Below are 22670 nucleotides of genomic sequence, written 5' to 3' on the forward strand. Positions count from 1 at the left end.
TAAAATGCTAAATTCAATCTGTGACTGTTTTATCTGGCATTTTTGCATCTCCACTCATGTCGGAACTCAATCTTCAGCTTTCTTTTTGTGTAACCTTTGTGATGGTGTTGGTTCCCAGAATTATGCTAGCTTTGTCAAATCAACTGGGATGCTTTACCTCTTTTTCTATTCCCTGAAACAGTGTATTTAGCAGGCAATTATAGCATCCCTCTAAGTTTAAAATAACTTATCCTTTAAACTTCTTGCATCCAGAGCCCTCCTCATAACTGTTTTTTGTTTTTGTTTTTTTGAGACGGAGTCTCACATTGTCGCCCAGGCTGGAGTGCAGTGGTGCGATCTCGGCTCACTACAATCTCTGCCTCCCGGGTTCACGCAATTCTCCTGCCTCAGCTTCCCGAGTAACTGGGACTACGGGTGCCCACCACCGCACCCGGCTGATTTTTTGTATCTTTAGTAGAGACTGGGTTTCACTATGTTGGCCAGACAGGTCTCAACTCCTGACCTCGTGATCCACCCGCCGCGGCCTCCCAAAGTGCTAGGATTACATACAGGCGTGAGCCACCGCGCAAGGCCAGAACTTTTTTTTTAATGCTCAGCTTCTTCCCCAGTTTCTGATTTAAAGTTTCAGACATCCAAGTCATTTCCCAACAGCCATGTCACTGGGATTTTCAAAGGTGTTGCATTTTAAGTTACTGTGTTTTACATTACAAAACAATTACTTCAAATGCAACTTACATTTGTTACACTTTTTCTATCATATCAATTCCTTTTTAGTTTTCTGTATTTGGGGTTTTCTCTTTTCTCTTTTCTTAATTAAACATGATAGTGATTTGGTCTACTTCCTTGGCCTTTTTTCCCAAATAGCTTTTAGATTTATCAATTCAGTGTTTTTATCTGTTTTTCTAATTCATTAATATCACTTTTATCTTACAATTCTTTTCTCCAGCTGTCTTTAGGCTTGTTTTATGCTTTCCAAGTTTGAGTTGAATACTTAATTCATTTATTTTCATTTTCTTTAATAATGTTTTAAAGCTACAAATGTGCCCCTGAATATAACTTTGGTAATAACCCATACATTTAGATATACAGAGTTCTCAATATTTCCTAATGATCCTGTAACAGTAACTTCATTTCCTCTTTGACCCAAGTGTGATTTAGGAGAATATTTTTAAATTTTCAAGTAACTGGATTTCATTAACATGTTTAAGTATTCTATGGAGGATAAAAACATCTCTGAAAGGAGATGAAACTCTGGCAAATAAAAAAAAACCTTTTAAATAGAAAACACGACAATGTTAAAAGTGAAAAATGACTCATATAATGCTGTGATGGCCATATCTACAGACACTCCTTGTAGAAGGGATATAACCACCATTGGTCCTGGGGCACTGAGAGATCTGAGTGTAAGCAACACAAGGAGAGAGGGAAGAGGATGTTAAGTCTCTGTGCCTTCTGAAAATTTTATCTTGGGCATATGCTGCTTGCTTATTTCAGAAGCAAAGTCACCCCTCAATAAATGGAATAAAACCATCCCAGATACACCATCTAAGTATATAACCAAGTAAACTTCCATATTTTTTTGATGAAATTTAGAGATGGCTTCAATTGAGTAAGACTTGGCCCCAAGATGATTACATCTGTGACTAAAGAAGGCAGGAGGGAAAAACAATAATCTCTAATTCTGCAATCTCCAAGTTCAGAAGAATTGAGAGCTACAAGAAAAATAAAGTATATACGTGTGTGTGTGTGTGTGTGTGTGTGTGTATGTGTGTATATATATGTTAAAAAGCTTAATGAGGTTCCAACTGGGCTATTTTGAAACCTAAATGTCAGGAACATGAAGCTGAGGCAGTACAGTAGCCAGTTCCCTGTATCTCCTTACGCAGCCTTTCCCATTTTACAATTACTACATCTTGTAGATCTTGCCTGCTACAGACCTTAAAACGCATTTCAATCCCAAATTAATTGAATTAACTTGTGCTTATAAGCATCATACCGTATCAACTCCCTTCCTTCCCACAAACTTTGTAGTGCCAAGTTAAAAAGAAAAGAAAAAAAAATGGACTCCATAAATCAGTTTTCCAATTTACGTTGAAGAAATCTGTTTCCTACTTTCTAATTTCTGCAACTGGGAAATTCTGTATATTATGTTACCATATAATGAAGGATGCCGGTAAACAGAAATCCACACGCCTGCACACACAACAGATTACATTGTATGTAATTGCAAACACCACCAAGTTATGTACTCTTGGGAGCATTATTAGTGAGATGTGGTTATTTAATGCTTCATCTATTTAAAAAAAAAACTCATTCCATATGGATGAAAAATGAGTATACTAGCCTGAATATGGGAAAAAAATAGAAAATGTAATCATATATTACTTAAAATCTATAACGTTTTATGCAAAGATAAGGTGTTAGTACCAAACTTAGGCATTCAGAATGTCTCAAATACAATATCATGGGCTAATTGCTGGCTACCAAAACCTCCATCCCCCAGCAGCAGATGGCAGGGCCAGCCTTTTGTACTTTACTTGACCATTTAAGAAACTCACAAAGGGGCCAGTCATGGTGGCTCACACCTGTAATTCCAGCACTTTCAGAGGCCGACGCAGGCGAATCACTTGAGGTCAGGAGTTCGAGACAAGCCTGACCAAAATGGCAAAACCCCGTCTCTAGTAAAAATAAAAAAATTAGCAGGGTGTGGTGGCGCACGCCTGTAATCCCAGCTATTCAGGAGGCTGAGGCAGGAGAATCATTTGAACTCAGGAAGCAGAGGTTGCAGTGAGCCGAGATTGCATCACTGCACTCCAGCCTGGGTTACAGAGCGAGACTCCCTCTCAAAGAAAAAAAAAAAAAAAAAAACTCATAAAGGTACACAGCACCTGGGGGCTTCCATTAGCATCAGAACACCCACGGAGGCACGCCCCATGGGAAGGTGGCACTCAGCTCCCACCACAGAGCAAGGCCCTTTAACAGCGAAGATGCTGCAGGGCACTGCTACTCGCCCTGCTGGGGAGAAGCCACCCAGCAGCCACCCTAGGAGCCTGGCACAGAATGCCCAGCTGTGGGGAAGGAAACTGTGCCACCTGCATCGCCCGTGTGCCAAATGGAGTTCAAGACTCTGCACCGTTCCCCATTCATCCCCACGAGAGGTTCAGCAGCCACTGCCGCTAAAACAAAAGACGGATGACAGGAAAACCCGCTGGCCTTTGGCCCATTCCCTAGCAAAGGGGAAGTGTAAAAGTGCAAAGGGGAAAGTGGGCCAGCTGCACTAATCCCTCTTTGTCCAGCAGTAATTAATAGTATAATCCACATTTCAGATGCATTAAAGCGAAAATGCTGCATTATCAGAGAGCCCGGCACACAGCCTCAGGGCAGAGCCTCCCTGCTGACCTGCAGAACCAGGTTACCTCATCTCAGCCTCCTCCTCTCAGGGGAGCTGACTCTAGACACCTCATAAAAGGACCGAGCTGGCAGCCAGAAGTCTCCACTCTGCCTGATGTGCTGTGTCTGTCTTCAGAAACCACCCACTCCAGAGCCAGTCCTTTGGGCACACGAGTTCTACTCCAGGAGACATTTACATCAAGTTCTACTCTCTGACCAACATTGAACATTTTATTTTTATTTTATTTTTTTACACAGAGACAGAGTCTTGCTCTGTCACCCAGGCTGGAGTGCACTGGCATGGTCATAGTTCACTGCAGCCTCGAACTCCTGGGCTCAAGTGATCCTCCCAAGTCTACCTCCCGAGTAGCTAGGACTACAGGTGTGCACCACCGCACTGGGTTAATTTTTTGTTTGTTTTATTTTGTGAGACAGGGTCTCACTCTTGTCATCCAGGCTGGACTGGAGTACAGTGGCGTGATCTTGGCTCACTGCAACCTCGACCTCCCGGGTTTAAGCGATTCTCCCACCTCAGCCTCCCCAGTAGCTGGGACTACAGGCATGCACCACCACACCGGGCTAATTTTTGTATTTTTTGGTAGAGACGGGGTTTCACCACGTTGGCCAGGCTGGTCTCAAACTCCTGACCTCAGGTCGATCCGCCTGCCTCAGCCTCCCAATGTGCTGGGATTACAGACCTGAACCACTTCACCTGGCCCTGGCTAATTTTTTTTTTTTTAATTTTTTGTAGATATGGGGTTTCCCTTTGTTGCCCAGCGTGGTCTCAAACTCCTGGCCTCAAGCAATCTTCCTACCTTGAACTCCCAAAGCACTAGGATTACAGGCGTGAGCCACCACACCCAGCAACACTGCATATATTAATATCACAAGTCTGGGCTGGGCGTGGTGGCTCATACCTGTAATCCCAGTACTTTGGGAGGCCAAGGTGGGCAGATCACGAGGTCAAGAGATCAAGACCATCCTGGCCAACATGGTGAAACCCTGTCTCTACTAAAAATACAAAAATTAGCTGGGCTTGGTGGCGCTACTCAGGAGGCTGAGGCAGGAGAATCACTTGAACCTAGAGGCAGAGGTCGCAGTGCATGGATATCATGCCACTGCATTCCAGGCTAGTGACAGAGCAAGACTCAATCTCAAGGAAAAAAAAAAAATCACAAGCCCCCCTGTGGATTCTTAAGCTTTAAGCTAACTCCCCTCCCCCCAAAATACTGGGATAATAAATGCAACCAAAATTAAGATGCCCCTCCTCAACTCAATTCGGTGGGATACCTTTTTTTATCTTGGTGTTATTTGGGTATTCTGCACTAATTCTGGGGCACCAGGTAAGTTTCTATCGAGGGGTAGAAGCTGACTTCTGTCCCCGTCCCCCAAGACCAAAGAGGAAGCCTCTTCTGCCACCACTGAAATACTATCTTTAGAGGAAGGCATGCTATTAGCTCATCAAGCACAAAACACATTCGAGCTAAACATTACAGTCAAATGTCACAGCCACTTCAAAATAGAGGTACCCAAAAAGGCAGTCAGTCTTCTCAGCAGGGCTTTGAAACCACTGCCAACTGAGAACTTGATCTCAAGTCTTCCAACACCAAAACACCTGGTGGAATAGGTACAACTAACGGGCAGACAGCCTCAAACTCCATTCAGCTCCACAGCGCCTCTCCATGACCACTGCAGCTCAACCTCTGTGCTGGGAAGTGCATGCATAGGATGGAGCCATGTTTCTAGAACCATCAGAGACAAATTTTCTACTACAAGTGATACTGCACATGACAGTTTATTCCTTGGCTGGCCTCTGATAGTATGCATTTGAACCATATGGAATCACCATTTTTTTTATTAAATTAGAGCTGTTAAATAATAACATCATGGAGGAATGTGTTAGGTTCTGGGCAAGGATCTTAAATACACAGTTTTGGAACAAGTGTAGGGAGGGGCCCAAGCCCACGGCCGGTGCCCAACGGTGGCTACACACTACAGCAGCAACCGGCCTTCATCCTCCAAGTCCTCCTTGGAATTTGGGTGAAACTACTTATATCTTAATCTAGGCAGCTGGAGATGAAGACAAAGACAAAAGAGAAGAGGAGAGAAAAGGAAAATAATTTGATAGAAGTATTTTCCATCCCAAATTTTGAGATCCTGGCACGAATGATATAATCTAGATACCCAACAACCTATACTTGTTCCAAAATCGTGCTGTTAAGATCCTTGCCCAGAACCTAACACGTTCTTCCATGATGTTATTAACAACTCTAATTTAATCCAAAAATGGTGATTCCATATGGTTCAAATACATAGTATCAGAGGCCAGCCAAGGAATGAATTGTCATTTGCAATATCTCTTGTAGCAGAAAATGTATCCATGCTGGTTCTAGAAACATAGCTCCATCCTATGCACACACTTCCCCCAGGACTCCTGGACTGCCAAAGGCAGCCTATAAGCCATCAACTAGCAACTGGACATTTCATCTGGGCGCTCAGGAGGTACAGACCTACCAATCACGGGAGTGAAGGTACCCAGGCCAAGGGGCTGTACAAGAAGGGCAGAGAGGAGGCCACCATCCTGAACACATCACAGACTGCCCATCTGTGCCCTTCAAGTGACCTCTAAAGTGTGGTATCAATCTCCACTGAACCTTTGCTCTTATTCCCACAACACTTGGATTCTTTCTTTACAGGGACCCATGTGAAAACTCTTTATTTTTTTATTATTATTATTTTTGAGACAGGGTCTTGCTCTGTCGCCCAGGTTGGAGTGCAGTAGTACGATGTTGGCTCACTGCAACCTCTGCCTCCCTGGCTCAAGCGATCCTCCCACCTCAGCCTCCCAAGTAACTGGGACCACAGGCGTGTGCCACCACACCCAGCTAATTTTTCTATTTTTTGTGGAGACAGGGTTTTGCCATGTTGCCCAGGCTGGTCTCAAACTTCCAGGCTCAAGTGATCTGCCTGCCTTGGCCTCCCAAAGTGCTGGGAGTACAGGCCTGAACCACGGTGCCTGGCCAAAAACCCTTTATAAACACTCTCTTTTATTTTTCTCTCAAGTATGACTCTTTGGGCCTCACCAAAATACAATTTCACAAAATAATGTCACATTATTTGGGGGAGGGGAGAGGCCACCAAATTTCATCTCGAAGCCTCTTCCCTCATTTCCAAGGAAATAGGCATTGTTGGAACAGGTAAGGCTGTAATATTTGGTTTAGCTTTGCCCTCCTGAGCCACCTACCTCTAGAGGCACGTGGGGGTCTCTTTCTTTGCCAACTGCACCAATTCCTCCACAGGACCGTGCAGTAGCTGAATAACAACCCCCGAAGACGCCCACATCCTAATATCCGTAACCTACAAATATGTTACCTTCTACAGCAAAGGAAACTTTGCAGATGCGATCAAGTGAAGGATCTTTGGATAGAGGAGATGATCGTGGATTATCCAGGGGGCCTGATGCAATCACAGGGGTCCTTACAACAGGGGCAAAGGAGAGGACAGAGTCAGGCAGAAGAAGGAGATGTAACAGAAGCATGACACAGAGTGATGTGAGGAAGGGGCCATCAACCCAGAAATGTGGGGGCCTCCAGAACCTAGACCATGCAAGGAAATGGGTTCCTCCTCGAAACCGCTACGAGAAAGCAGCCCTGCCAACACCCTGACTTCAGCCTACTGAAACTGATTTCAGACTTCTAGGCTCCAGCTACAAGGCAATCAGTTTGCGGTTTTTTGCATTTTTTTTTTTTTTTGGAAAAATGAAAGCTGATTTTTATTTTATCATCAACAGCCATTCTTTAGACATGAACATGCATACGTAATATTCTATGCACACATCGCAGTTTTGAACATTAGTTAATAAAGTTTAAACATACTACATCCTTACAGAAAACATCAAAATGCAAACTTAAGTTTGTGTTTTACACCAACAAGTTTGTGGTAATTTCTTCTTCTTTTTTTTTTTTTTTTTTTTTTTTTTTTGAGACACAGTCTCGCTCTGTCACCAGGCTGGAGTGCAGTGGTGCGATCTTAACTCACTGCAACCTCCGACTCCCTGCTTCAAGCGATTCTCTGCCTCAGCCTCCTGAGTAGCTGGGATTACAGGCAGGCACCACCATGCCCGGCTAATTTTTGTATTTTTAGTAGAGAAGGGGTTTCACCATGTCTTGATCTCCTGACCTCATGATCCACCTGCCTCGGCCTCCCAAAGTGCTGGGATTACAGGCATGAGCCACCATGTCCGGCCTATGTGGTAACTTCTTACGGCATCAAGAGGAAACTAGTATAGCCATCTGGAGAAAGGGGGACAGAACCACTGGACACACAGAAGCAGGGGTGTCCCTGAAGGGTTCACCCTACCAAGGGGTTCACACTACCCTCCTTCTCCAGACCCTAGGGACCAGCTGAAACCTCTCTTTCTCCATCACCAAAAATTAGGACCAAAGGCCTCAGATGCTGTAATCAAGAGCTGTGTCTTTTTTTTTTTTTTTTTTTTTTTTGAGATAGGGTCTCACTCTGTCTCTCAAGCTGGAGTGCAGTGGTGCAATCTCAACTCACTGTACCCTCTACCTCCCGGGCTGAAGTGATCCTCCCACCTCAGCCTCCTGAGTAGCTGGGACTACAGACGCCTACCACCGTGCACAGCTAGCTTTTGTATTTCTTGTAGAGACAGGGTTTTGCTGTGTTGCCCAGGTTGGTCTCTAACTCCTGGGTTCAAGTGATCCACCCACTTCAGCCTCCATAAGTGCTGGGATTACAGGCGTGAGCCACCACACCGGCCACGAGGGCTATGTCTTAGGAGAGGTGTTCAGTGGAGTATCTTAGCATTAGACAGAAAAAACCTCCCATCCTGGCCTACCGCATTTGAGATTTATAAATATCCAAATTAACCAAGGAAACAACAGAAAAACAGTAGTTGGACAAAGAGTTTGTGTGTGCTACATGTTTATTTTATCTAATAGGAGACACCGAACTAGAAACATCTACATTCAAGAAGAATCCCTGGATCCACAGTTCCTTTTATCAATTCACAAAAGCCAGGCCGAGCCAACCTTACCCAATATATTCCACAGGTGGGCCCGCCTGAAGCCTCGCTGTGATGCCAGGCAGCCAGCCTGAAGAACTGGAAAGCCAGGGCCCGTGCACGCTGGGCTCCTGAAGACAAAGGAAACAGAATGGCTCGGGAAGGCCGTGGCACCCTGCCCGCCTCCGTGGTAGCCTGGGGCCACTGGATCTTGCTGTCTCCGCAGCACCTGAGAGGTGTGAGCCAGGCAGCCAACCACATCAGAAGCTGGCTGCCGGCTGCCCCAATTGCACAACACCTCCAGGGGAGCCAGCTTTCCAGGACTGGGTTTTACACACCATACGGGCACTGGCCATGTTGACCCAGTCAAGGCATGGCACCTTGAAGAATGGCCCACGCAAAGACCGGCCATATGGACAGAAGGCATCCTGCCACAGAGCGATTTCTGAATCACCTCTATGCAAAGAATAGTCTTCTCTCTTACGCAAAGGAGATCCCATCACCACCATCTCATTTCTATCCCAGGCTCCTCCAGTTCTCTTTCAATCACAAGCCAGACTACCCAACCACTTAACTCTCTAGGCCCAGATATGACTTAATTCTCCCACTCCTGCATGTTTGTTGCCACTTCCCCATTTTGTGTTAACAATTAACCTGAAGTATTATGTTAACAATTAACATGAATTGTGTTTTGGTTTTTAAGGTCGGAGTAACTAGGATTACTCAATAGGATTTAAATGTTCAATTTTAGCACACATGTACAAGGCGCTACTTTGTACATGACAAGATGAAGTGGTTTAAAAAAAAAACAAAACATAACCACCTTTCACAAAGGGTTCTCATTCAGCCTCCTGCTTGTGAAAGATACGACTTTGAATAGTGAAAGTCCCAAGAAGGGTAATTCAAGCAAAACTGGTTTCTAGTTTGCCTTGATTCAAATTCTTTATGCTACTTGACCCATTTCTCTTTTCCTCTTGCTTCTCCTGATGCCTCTCAAAATAATAATAAACCAACCCCAGAAATAGAATCCTGTCTTCCTTAGATGTCACCATATGACTAATTTATGGCCTTTGTTTAAAGCCCTTACACCAGAGTTGACTCCAGTAATTTCCTCCTCTTCTATTTGAATGTCCATTTACAGCCTCTCTGTAACCTCTGGGTGAACTGAGAATGTTCTCTGTGCCTCTCATGATGTGGATTCGCACCCTGGTGACAGCAGAGTGGCTCCGAGCAGAATCTCCCCATTACAGCTGAAGCCCACTGGGACCCTACCCAAGTTCACGTGTATATCCCAAGAGAGTTTGCTGAACACTCCTTATGCCTTAATGCACCTTTGAAAAAAAAAAGACTAAGGGGGCTGGGCGCAGTGGTTCATGCCTATAATCCCAGCACTTTGGGAGGCCAAGGTGGAAGGTTCACTTGAGCCCAAGATTTCAAGACCAGACTAGGCAATATGGCAAGACCTCATCTCTACAAAAATAAAAATAAATCAGCCAGGCGTGGGGGCATGTGCCTGTGGTTCCAGCTGCTTGGGGGTGCTGAGGCAGGAAGATCACCTCCCTCAGCCTTGGGAGGTTGAGGCTGCATGGAGCTGTGATTGTGCCACTGCAATCCAGACTGAGCAACACTGCAAGACTCCCATCTCGAAAAAAAAAAAAAAGGCAAAAAGATATCAAAGGCTGAGTGGGCAATTTGAATGTGTTCCCAAGACGTGATGGGAATTTTCTACGTTTGGATTCAGGGGAGTGGGGTCTTAGTTTTGCTCTCATTCAGGGAGGTGGGTCCCAAAAAATATCCCCTGTTGGCCTTAGGAGGAGGAATACTTGAAAGGTATATCTGAAAATGCTCCAAGTTTTTTCCTGCCCCGCTTTCCAGTGGTGCCCTTCGCCAAGTCATGAAAACTCTGCCAACACTGTTCTCTCTCCAGCACTCACCTGGGCTCCCCACCAATGTCTTGGCTGCCGTCACGACTAAATAATGCCTTCTCTTCTTCCCCTCCACCCACCCCTCTCTGGTCTTTAGCACAACCTATCAGCTGACTTCTCCAACTCCAGGGAGCTAGACCACATAGTCCTCCACCAAGAGCTTTGCTAGCTTAGCACCCCACAGATAGAGCTCGTCCAGAGAATTGTCCAACCATCCATTAAAATATCCAAGTGGCCCCAGTGTGCCAGAGACTGCTCTCTCTGGACTAGGGCTAGGGGTAAGCAGCAAACCAAACAGGCTAAGACCTCTGCCACCTGCATAGAGCCCATGCCTACTGTCTGACCCATCCCTACCTCTGCAGATGCTCCTTAATTCCCCACTTTTACTCTCTCCTCTTCAGAAAATGATTTCCTCCTTTTGGATGAAAATTTGATTTTTTCGATGAAGTGGGACCTATGTTTTCTCAGTTTTTATCTTTTTTTTTTTTTTGAGACAGGGTCTTGCTCTGTCACCCAGGCTGGAGTCCAGTGGCACGATCATGGCTCACTGCAGCCTCAATTTCCCAGGCTCAAGCAATCCTCCCGCCTTAGCCTCTTGAGTAGCTGGGACTACAGGCATGCGCCATCACACCCGGCTAATTTTGCTTGATTTTTTTTTTATAGAGACAGGGTCTCACTATGTTGCCCAGGCTGGTCTCGAACTCCTGGGCTCAAGCAATCCTCCTGCCTTGGCCTCCCAAAGTGCTGGGATGACAGGCGTGAGCATACACGCCTGGCCATGGTTTTGATCTTATAAAATAAATTAACTCTAAGGCCGGGTGTGGTGGCTCACGCCTGTCATCCCAACACTTTGGGAGGCTGAACGGGGTAGATCATGAGGTCAAGAGATCGAGACCATCCTGGCCAACATGGTGAAACCCCGTCTCTACTAAAACCACAAAAAATTACCTGGGCATTAGCCTGTAGTCCCAGCTACTTGGGAGGCTGAGGCAGGAGGATCGCTTGAACCCAGGAGGCAGAGACTGCAGTGAGCCAAAATCACACCACTGCACTCCAGCCTGGCGACAGAGTGAGACTCCATCTCAAAAATAAAATAAAATAAAATAACTCTAAATAATAAATGGCAAGAATTTTCTTTAATTGGCATTTTGTGGGGATTCACCCCAGGCTTGGCTGTGTGTTATCATACTCTCTTCACTCTGAGAATCTGAACTGTCTCCCTGAAGGACTGAAGCTAGCCTCTGTATAGTCTAAATGCTAAAACTGGCTGTCAGTTTCCTCAATGCTTGCCACTGTGATTTTATTCTGAAAGCTACAGCTCTTCTCATTCAAAGGTTACCCTCCCTCCTAACCAACCCAGAAAGAACTCACTACCCAGCTCTGCTTGCACCCTAGTGTTGGGGCTCAAGCTTCCGGTTCCGCTAAGACTCTGACCTCGCTTCTAAGGACACACACCTCAGAGGCCCAGAGCTCCGCTGTATCACACACTCATTGTCACATCCCTCGATGCATCATTCCCAGAATCCTCAAGGCTGTCACTGGATGAAAGAATAAAACAGCAAAACATCCGGCACCTTTTCATCCTGGCTCAAGTCAAAAGAGTTGGGATTAAAGCCACTTGTGACTTTCAAAAGCTATCACTACGAGGCAAGGACCGAGTGGCCAGTTCGTTTCAGAAAGTGGCCTGATGCTGTTGAAACTGCCAGCTGCCAGTGGACGTGAGCCTCACTCCCACTTTATAGTCTCAGGAAGGTGGCTCTCAGGACATGACGCCAAGCCCCAGAAGGGCCTCTGAATCCTCCACCAGCGTGTGCGTGTGTGTGTCTGTGCGTGTGTGTGTGTGTGTGTGTGTGTGCGTGTGCGTGTGCGTGTCTGCACGCGCACCTGAGTGCACATGGGCTGCCTGGTTTACAGGCCACCACAACCCTTCCACCAAGTGTGAACACACATACACTTCCTTACCAAGGTGCCCACCGGAAACCCCTGCCTGGACCCCTGCAGCCCTCCCAGCCACACTGCAGCATCGAGGGAACAGCACTTTGCCTCCCCAAACCTGCCCTGGCTACTGGGTGACCCCGCTCTGCTATCCCCACCTTCACCCTGAGATGCACAGACTGTCTGCTCTAAAGGGCATGAACCTGGAGATTGTGAGTCATCACGACGCGCAGGAAGCAACGTCTCAGTCCAAACCCTGAGCCCGTTCCTAGAGAGCCTTCTCCGCTCTCTCACCCCTCATCCCACGTAGAGCAATCAGGGCTCACCCGCCCCCTTCCCTTTCTCTATGGCTTCTTCAAGATCTCCTCATCCATCTGCCCACAACTGGAACTGTTTATTTGTTTAGCCCACTGGTAAGAAAAATGAGAGAGCGGGCTGGCATTCCTGGCTGGGCATAAACACGTTTTTAAAAAATGTCTGTTCCAACTCTGTCTGGGTCCCGTACTGAGCCCTTTAACCTCCTGCAAGCACCATGGAGACATTCCATGGGAACTATCACCATTCGTTATCATCGCTGAAAGACAAAATCCACTGTACCCTGCAACATCTCACACAGATCCTTCACATTCTTGGTTTGAGAGCTGACTATGCAAGAAAAAGGAAGCACCATGACTGTGGGAAAGGCCACTGTCACCAGGACAAGAGGCACCAGCAAGAGCCCTGCATCAATTACTCTACAGAGGCACCGGGAGGCCTGATTTTAATTTTTTAAAAATACATTTAATGAATCACATACGCAAACTTTACATTGGCAGAACACTCCCTTAGGATCATGAGCAAATTTCTGATCAGATCAAATAGCAAACTGCCCAAGGAAACCACGAAGAGGGGTGATGTTGCTATCACACTATCAAAAAGTAAAGACATACTTCTGATTTCTCACAAGAAATTTCCCAACAAAAGCTCTCTGTCTTAGATTCCGAAAGAAAAACATCCCCCACACAGAGTGTAAGGGCCAAGAATGGCCTCACCATATGGGACAGCTTCTGAAATACACAGAAAACGGGCAACGCGGGACCCATGGGACAAACCACTGTGTAGCCAGCTGCCCCGGCCAGGCCCGTGGTGTTGACTTTGGCAGTGCTTGTCGACCATGACTCAGCAATAGTCATCGAAACTGAAATCAAGTGGAACTGATCAGTTCAGACCTCCAATGTTGAGTTTGACTCAACGATTCTTCAATGCCCCTGGTCTTCCTGAAATTCTCCATTTAAATATTTACTGGTTTAAGGGTAAAGTCAGGGAGGCACGGGCATGGTTGTTGGACCTTTTCTGTCTTATCCTATTCAAATCTGGCTGAACTGAGTAAAACGTTATGCAGCAGGATGTCTTCCTATATAATCCACTTCATCCCGCCCCCCCAATACTCTTCCATAGGGGTTCAAATGCAGATCTGAACCAACTGCTCGATGATCCCCCAAAGCCATTTAGTCTCTGAGCTTTTCTCATCTACAAAATGAGATGTGTCCCCACTCTGCATACCGTATAGAGCACCTGCAAGGATTAGTTGAAAGGGTATAGGCCCAAGGACTTTGAAAAATGAAGCTCCTTAAATTATTTTCCCGATGTCCTCAGACAGACTTGGCACCTTACCCTTTTACTCATAATTAAAGATTTGAGCAGCTAACTCAGAGGCCTAATTGTGATGCTAAGTAGACATATAGTGGCTCAATAAAAGGAAAGACTGAAGGGGTTTAGAGCAGCGAGGAAAGACAATCGAGGAAACGGGGCTCGAGGTTCTGGGACGAGGGCCTGCTGAGCTGGCCAGCCCAGCCAAGGCCACAGGGATACAGTCCTTCCAGTCACTCAAGTTAAAAATCTTGCAGTCACCCTTGACTCTATGTCCTGTCTTGTCCCATATCTCCCTTCAAAATCTATCCAGAGGATAAGCACCTGGAGCAGATCGAATAGCATCCCTCCTAGAACTCATGTCTACCAAGAACCTCAGAACATGGCCTTATTTGGAAATAGAGTCTTTGAAGTAATTTATAACTAAATTGAGCTCAGACTAGATCGGGGTAGGCCTTAAATCAATGACTGAGCCAGGTGTGGTGGCTCACACCTATAATACCATCACTTTGGGAGGCTGAGGTGGGTAGATCACCTGAGGTCAGGAGTTTGAGACCAGCCTGGCCAACATAGTGAAACCCTGTCTCTACTAAAAATACAAAAATTAGCCAGGTGTGGTGGCGGGCACCTATAATCCCGGCTACTCAGGAGGCTGAGGCAGGAGAATCACTTGAACCTGGGAGGTGGAGGTTGCAGTGAGCCAAGATCATGCCACTGCACTCCAGCCTGGGTGACAAAGCGAGACTCCATCTCAAAAAAAAAAAAAAAAAAAAAAATCAATGACTGGTACCCTTAGAAGAGGAGGGAACACACAGAAATGCACACAAGGAAGACAGCCACGTGTAGACGGGAGGCAGAGGCTGGAGTGACACAGCTCCAAGCTAAGGAATGAGTCTTTACTCAAATGTCACCTTCTCCGAAAGCCTTTCTTCACTGTGTCCACCGAACCTGCCAACTACTGCTCACCCCCTGCCCTCGTCCCGCCTCCTCTCCACAGCATTTAACATCATCCAAAATACTATAATGCACTTAGTAATGATGTCCAGTGAGGGAGATGAGGTAGTATAAGCTCCAAGCAGACAAGCATTTCTCTCTTTTTTTGCCCCCATTGGAGTATCACCGGCACCAACAACAGTGTCTGGCACACATGGGACTCTCAAACAAAAGGTCAAGGGCAGCCCAGGGAAGCCCCAAGGCTGGAAGCTCTCGCTGAGAAAGCCAGGCTGGGAGAAGCCCGTCTCCCTGAGTCAGGCCTGCAAGCCAGGCAGGCAGATGGTGAAAGGCAGGAGGGAGAGGAGCCACTGCAGGCCCCTGGTCAGCAGAACAAGAAGAATACGGAGCCGGGAGTTTGAGGGCAGCACCACTGATATTCAGGCTGTGTCATTCTTCGTTGGGGATGAGGGTGGCTGTCCTGGGCATCGCAGGATGTTTAGGAGCATCCCTGGCCTCTACACTGGATGCCAGTAGCATCCTCTCCCCAAAGTGTGACAACCAAGAATGTCTCCAGACTGCCAAATCTTGGGGGGAGGAAGCAAAATCACCCCCTACGGAGAACCGCTGAAACTGAGTTTCAGTCCAATGACGGCCCACATGCCACGATCCCAGACAGCACAGGGCCAAGCAGGTAACACAAATGAGCGAAGTTGGCTGGGAAACAGGACGTGGTAGGGTAAGAGCTGGTAAGCAACAGTGAGCTCTGGCAACCTAAAAAGTAGATGTTCCTTCCACAAGGGGCAGTCACCACCCTGTTCTAGCCAGGTTTTGCCCTGAAGACCCAAAATGGCCAAATCCCCCGATTTTTTTTTTCAAGAGAAGGTTTTAATACTGATTTTTCTGTGAAATGTGCCCATGTTTAAAACATAGTATGTGGCCAGGTGCAGTGTCTCACGCCTGTAATCCCAGCACTCTGGAAGGCCGAGGCGGGCAGATCACTTGAGGTCAGGAGTTCGAGGCCAACCTGGCCAACATGGCAAAACCCCATCTCTACTAAAAATAAAAAATTAGCCTGGCGTGGTGGCCCATGCCTATGATTCCAGCTACTCAGGAGCCTCAGGCAGGAGAATCGCTTGAACCTCGGAGGCAGAGGCTGCAGTGAGCTGAGATCGCACTGCTGCACTCCAGCCTGGCGACAGAGCAAGACTCTGTCTCAAGAATAAATAAATAAATAAAATAAAATATAGTATTTGCTGAACAAAACACATCTACAGGCTAGGTTTTGCCTACAAGCTAAGACTGTGCAACCTCCGCACAGAGACTGCCTGGAGGTGGAAGGGGCTGGAGGGAAACCCCCCTTAGGAGCCTGCTGTCATCTAGACACAAGGGGCCTGGAGCAGGCCTGTGAGGGTAAGGGGCGGAGGGAGGAAAGGCTGGATCCCAGAAACTCTTAAGGTGAATAAGATAAGCACAGCAAGACAAGTGTGCACACTGTAATCATAAGCCACGAGGGCCAAAGCAACAGCCAATGCCCCCGGCTCCCTCCCACGATGCGCTACAGGCAGCACTGTGCTTACGCAGGTCACACACCTAGGAGCCGGAAGACCCCTAATGCATCCTTCAGGTAGGACCCTCTGCTTTGCAGAAAACCAGCGCTTAGAAAAGGCTTAAAGTGAGTATTTTGAAGACGGCTGGAATCAGAGCTCAAATCCATAACCTCAAAGGCTTCATGTCATCTTGCCACCACCCACGCCAATCCTTGAGCCTAGAGTAACGAAGAGAAAGGCTGCAACGACCACACACACCACGACGTCAGCCCAAAGGCCACGTGGCTCCATCCACGGCAACAAAATGCAAGGGAGCTCCGAGGGACACTTCCGTTTCAGGACAGGCTTACGGGGAGGACACCAGCTCCTCCCACCCTATCTGTAGACTGGGTAGAAGGGCTTCTTTTGAGCGCTCTGTCTTCCCAGAGAAGGACGTCCTGGAAACAAGGCACGTGCAGTATTACCATTAAACAACATGCACATGCCAGTGGCGCTAAATAAACAGCAGAGACAGAGGCTGCCTCACCCACTTGCTCCATAGTCTGCATCGAATCAAGGTCACTGGAGACAAGGTAAAGTCCACAGAGCCCCCTCATCTCACATCCACACAGCTTTGCTCCTCCTGAAAGAAATGAAATAGCTGGAGTGTTTTGGCAAAGAAACGAAGAGGCAGGTGAGCAAGGAGAGATGGGGGAAGGGAGGGGCGAAAGAAGAGAAGAGGCAGCCCCATCTCCCAGCTGGGGAGAAACTTCCAGATGGGAGGCAGCAGACGCCACTGAATTGATGGCCAGTCTCCACCAAGCCTCATCATGCCCCGCAGGCAAAGTCTCCACTCCCCTTCCTTCCCCCAGCCACGGGCAGGAGGCACCACCCATGAAGACTGAGTCTGAGATCATGCACCATTGACTACCCAAGCCCAATTCTTCCTGTCCCTGATCTCCAAGTGGTAGCTGCAAATAAGCCCACGTGAGTTGCACTGAAAGGATCAGGGCACTGGTTCTCGAGGACTGGGAATGCAATGATAAAACGAAATCTCACCAGCACTCAGTAAAGCCAGATCCAATGGCAGCCTTGGGCTGGTCACCCCTAAACCGCCATGTGTCAGTCGGGTTCCGCCTCCCAGAAGCGGGTTACCCTGATTTGTGAGCTGATTATTCTAGAAGACTCCAGGGTCTGAAAGTATCTCAACAGGTTGGCTATGTAAAAACACAGTCAATCAAGCAGCCAGACACTTTGCAGAGAGACTCCACTCCACGAAGAATTACAGGAGGACCAGAGGGTCTGGCTGTGCCGGATCCCACAGCTCAGCGGCTACATGTCCCCCAGAAGGTGGGCCCAGGAAGGCCCTGCACCTTGTATGGGAAGCTCTCTACTCCCCAACACAATACCCCTCGGCCTTGACTGCCCCTTAGACACCGCCTGCCTCCTGGAGACGAGACATTCCTCAGCCCTCTCCCACATATGATCTCCGCATGTATCCATTATAAGGATCTAACTTTTTTATGGAGAGGAGAAAGTTCCCACATGCAGAAGACTTACACCGCAGGGGGAACGAAGGGAGGGTCATTTAGCACTTGTTGAAAGAAGATGAGTATGAGAGCAATTGGGAGGAGAAGAAAATGTCATGTCAGCTATGAAAGTTAAACAGGAACGTTCCCCTCCCCACAACGACCGCCCTGCACCGCCCTGCCCCAAGTCCTTCCCAATGCGGCGGCAGCCACCAGCCCATGCAGGACTCACACATGGGCAGACACCCAAGTTAAGAGAGGGGGCCCGGGAAGGGGAGGGACACCATGGTGGTTTGCAGAGCTCCACCTCTGGGAATGGATTTGATGTCAAGTGTCAGCAAGTAAATTGCTATTGGCTTCTCAATAAGCAGCAGCAGTGAGTTAAGTGTTTCCCCGTATTGTGGAGCCCTCACGGACTCGATACAGCAGTATTGACAGCACAATCACACAGTAATCCAGGGTCCTCTAATGCCTACACTTCCTCAATGAAAATACACTTTCCACTTGGACATCAGCCCATTAGCTTTGGGCTGGAATCTCTGGCCTCCTTATCCCTCCCCCAGGCACCCCTGGGCTGCAGGTCTGGCATCTGGCCCCCTGACACCCCAGCCAACATGAACATCCCAGCCAGAGTATTGTCAGGGCCCAACCGAAAAAGATAAACAGTCAGAGACCTACAGGAAAAGGCCTGCTCTCCCTGTCTATAAATCACTGGTGGGAAGGAAAGAAAAGTGATCCAACTCTTTCAGGATAAAAATCACAGCAGTCACTGAGGAAAATTGATGTTCCCTTGCAAAGCGAAAGATGTTCTCTCCGGGAAGATGCATGCCTTCAAGTTTTCAGACAGACTGAGACTCAAACTTCACCCAATGTGACACAGGATTGAGACAAGTTATGTGACCTCCACAAAGCTCAACCTCTCACGCCAGATTCGATGCTTCCCAAAAGGAACACACCCATGTCTTGGCAGTCTCCGATAGGCTGAAATAGTAGAGGGTCTGCTGGGCACAGTGGCTCACGCTTGTAATCCGAGCACTTAGGGAAGCAGAGGTGGGTGGATCCCATGAGGTCAGGAGTTCGAGAATAGCCTGGCCAACATGGCAAAACCCCATCTCTACAAAAAATACAAAAAAAAAAAAAAAAAAAAAAAAAAAAAAGCCAGGTGTGGTGGCAGGCGCCTGTAATCCCAGCAACTTGGGAGGGAGGCTGAGGCAGGAGAACTGCTTGAACCCAGGAGGCGGAGGTTGCAGTGAGCCGAGATCACACCACTGCACTCCAGGCTGGGGGGCAGAGCAAGACTCTGTCTCAAAAACAAAAACAGAAAGGCCAGTCATAGTGGCTCACGCCTGTAATCCCAACACTTTGGGAGGCCAAGGCGGGTGGATCACCTGAGGTTAGGAGTTCGAGACCAGCCTGACCAACATGGTGAAACCCTGTCTCTACTAAATACAAAAAATTAGCTAGGCATGGTGGCAGGCACCTGTAATCCCAGCTACTTGGAAGGCTGAGGCAGGAGAACTACTTGAACCTGGGAGGTGGAGGTTGCAGTGAGCCGAGATTGTGCCATGCCATTGCACTCTAGCCCGGCAACAAGAGCAAAACTGCCTCAAAAAAAAAAAAAAAAAAAAAACACATAGTAAAGGGTCTGCTCATTTAATAGTAAACACTTTGCAAATGCAAGCTATGTTTCAAAACCATTTCTCATCCATTTTTATTTGACTCCCAGCACACCCTGGAATCGCTGGGGGAGAAGATTTTATTCCAGAGACCAGTGAAACACAGGTAAAGGAGAACTAACGTGACTTACCCAAGGTCACACAGCTAGTTAGCAGTAGATTTGGAGCTAGAGCCTAGACTAGGGTTGGCAAACTTTTCCCATAAAGAGCCATGTAACTATTTCAGGCCTTGCAGGCCACGCATTCTCACTGCAACTACTCACCTACACCACATGATAGCATGAAAGTGGTCACAGACAAAACACAAACAAGCAAGTGCTGCTGTTTGCCAATGAACATTTAGGAACACAAATATAAATGTCACATATTGTCAGATGTCCCATAATCGTATTCATCTTCTGATTCTCCACCAGCCATTTACAAATGTAAAAGCCATTCTTGGTTGGCAGGCCATGCCAACATGTGTTGGGTCGGAACTGGCCCGCAGACTAGAGTTTGCCAATCCCAGATTGCTGGGAGACTTCTCAATATCTACTAATAGAATACCACAAAGCCAAAAAAAGACAAACCGTGATCATTCCCAGGCTTATTACAATTTTAACTCTCCAGTCCAGTCAAAATTGCTTGCCTAGCAAACACCAAACGTAACCCAGGCTCCAGGTATCTGACAGCAATACAGCTTGCGCATGCAGGCGGGGTGTTCAAACTTCTCTAGAAAACAATGCCTTTTTATGGGAATGCCTTTTTATGGGAATTTTTGCACAAAATTTCAAGTTAAGAAACTTTCCATAAATACACAACGCATGCTCTAGCCACAGCTGGTTTCATATGCTAACTGCAGAAGGCATTTCCGAAAGCAGCATGTGAAGAGTCCTCCTTAAATACAGCGTTAGGGAAAATGACACCCTCTATCCTCCCCACTGCCCCCACCACCAAGAAGGAATTTGGGTCTGTGTTCAGTAAGAAGAAATCTGGCCAGAAAGGGGTTAATGCCCTTCCAGGCTGGGATCTGATAAATGGCTGTGCAGAAAGCAGGTTCCCTCACTTTGAGATATGATGTCACTAACCTTTATTGATCCACTATCAGAGAACTTTGCTTATCTCTCTCCTGTGATATACTGCCCCTCCTGTGCTCAACTAGTGTTTAATACACTGCCGGGTGCCTTGCACTCCTCATCGCTCAGCACTGCAGAGAGAGGCTGCCACGGGGACCATATTTCACAGAGCCGGGCCTTCCCAGCACAGACGCCTCCCAGAGTCAAGGGGAGCCAGCACCCACCTCCCACCTCCTCCCAGGCCGCCAGGTCCCAGCTGCACCGAGACAGTGGGTCGGGTCAGGGCAGGGCAGGATAGGACACGGCCCCTCCGGGACCCTGCGGCTTCTCCTTTTTTTGGGGGAGTGTGGGGACAGAGCTTCAGTCCCAAGATTCCCCTTTTTTCCACCATGAAGACAACTGTCAGCCATGTTCATGTGGGAAAACATAAGCACCTCCGAGTCAGACCTCCTATTTAGAGAAATGAGCTTCCTGTTTTTCCCCTTCCAAGGTCTCAAGACCTCAGTCCACCGGGAGGTGGAAAACACCATCCATCAAGGTGCCGGACAGTTGTTCGGGAGAAGTCCTGCCAGGAAGAAAGCCAGAGAACATGCCCAGGTGTGGCCAGGCAGGCTCAGATCCCCAAGAAGAACAGGGCTCCAGAGCCCGGGGCAGTGTGATGCTGGGGCTGCCACACACCGGGTTTGGGGTTGGTCGCTCCTCCTGCCAACCCACAGGCTAAGGATGCATCAGGCACAGCCTTGGCCACACCCAAGGGTGGGGAGAGCCCCAAAGCACCAACAGACAGGGGACGATTGTTAGAACTCAAGACACAGAATTCCATCTCCAATAACCTCAACCGCTCGGAGGGATTCTCAAGCTCTGCCAAGACCCCCACTGGTGGCTCTCCAAGAAGCCCATGGTACAGGCTTTGCTTCTCCGGGCCCATCCCTGGGAAAGGGGGCAGTGGGCCGCCCAGAAAAAGTGAGCAGGGGCCCTCCCACAGCCCCGGGGCACCCAAAATTTGCCTAATTGAACATTAACAAGTTGCTACAATAAAGTTCCTCTGTTGTGAGCAGGGAAACCTTTTCGGCAACAACAACAGAAGTCTTGTTACAAACTGCTCTGAAAGCCAGGCTTCAGCCTCGACAGGTGTGAACAAGATTTCAACACCTCCTACAATACAATGCAATCCAAACAAAGGGGAAAGTCAATCCCAGCCTCCTGAGGTTTCTGCTTGTCTAACATCTTCTTCACTCACTCAGCCCAGGGGAGCCAAGTGCACCTTCCTCAAGCCCAGCAGCAGAGAAGACCTCACCAAAGGTAGACCCTCTCCACTGCCTCAACATGGGGCCATCTTGGCTGCCCAGGGGCAGTTCGGAAAGTCTCTGCTAGGAACAGGAGTCCTTTCAATGGCTCCCACCTGCTCCTGGGACCCCAAGGCCCCTTCTATCACCTCCCAAATGCAGCTAGCATCGATGAACCACACTGGCGTGTTTCCCACATTTCCTCACCTGGGTTCGCCATCACCTTCAGCCTCTTGACAGGTAAGGAGAGTGAAAAAGAGGAAAATGAGAAACGCTCCTTGGTCACAGGGTCCATGCTGCTCCTTCTACTAAAGGGGACACAAGAGCCTCCTAAAGCTCCCTTCCCTGAAATGCTGGAGAAAAGCTGAGACCTCAGGACTGGATATTTTATTTAAAAACTTTTTGTGAGTGATGCCACAGGTAGAAACACACAAGAAGTGTGTGTTGGACGACGGAAGGAATTATCCCTCCCATTGATTTTTCGCTCTGGAGTATTAGAGAGAAAACAGCATTTATCTGGAGATTTCTTCCCAAAGCCAACCACATAAACGGGACTTGAAAAGAGCTTATCGGACAAACGATTTGCTCACAAGGCCATCGCCCAAGTGGGAATCCCAGCAGGGAACTCGATCAGCCCCACTGTTCCTGCGTGGACATCTTTAGGTGGCTGTTGTCATTACTCAACTTCATGCCAACGACAGAGAGGCTGGCCTGGGAAGTGGCAGAGGGGAGACATTGGCAAAAATTACAATGGACAAAAAAT

The 22670-nt window shown here is 47.8% G+C and overlaps 1 protein-coding gene across 6 annotated transcripts in view, besides 2 other annotated features; it reads right to left on the bottom strand.

Moving 5' to 3' along the window:
* Nucleotides 1–22670, bottom strand: part of ZFHX3 (zinc finger homeobox 3) — a 1109046-nt gene that overhangs the window by 224291 nt on the left and 862085 nt on the right. The window lies entirely within an intron of this gene.
* Nucleotides 8100–8600: an enhancer, noted in NCBI's record as "H3K4me1 hESC enhancer chr16:73049174-73049674 (GRCh37/hg19 assembly coordinates)". NCBI's record gives its function as "activates a minimal SCP1, AML or CMV promoter by ChIP-STARR-seq in naive H9 embryonic stem cells {active_cell/tissue: H9 hESC(naive)}" and the evidence as "EXISTENCE:reporter gene assay evidence [ECO:0000049][PMID:30033119]".
* Nucleotides 9149–9298: an enhancer, noted in NCBI's record as "active region_11101". NCBI's record gives its function as "activates an Ori minimal core promoter by ATAC-STARR-seq in GM12878 lymphoblastoid cells {active_cell/tissue: GM12878}" and the evidence as "EXISTENCE:reporter gene assay evidence [ECO:0000049][PMID:35858748]".

This window comes from Homo sapiens, chromosome 16, assembly GCF_000001405.40.
Source record: "Homo sapiens chromosome 16, GRCh38.p14 Primary Assembly".
Taxonomy (NCBI): domain Eukaryota; kingdom Metazoa; phylum Chordata; class Mammalia; order Primates; family Hominidae; genus Homo; species Homo sapiens.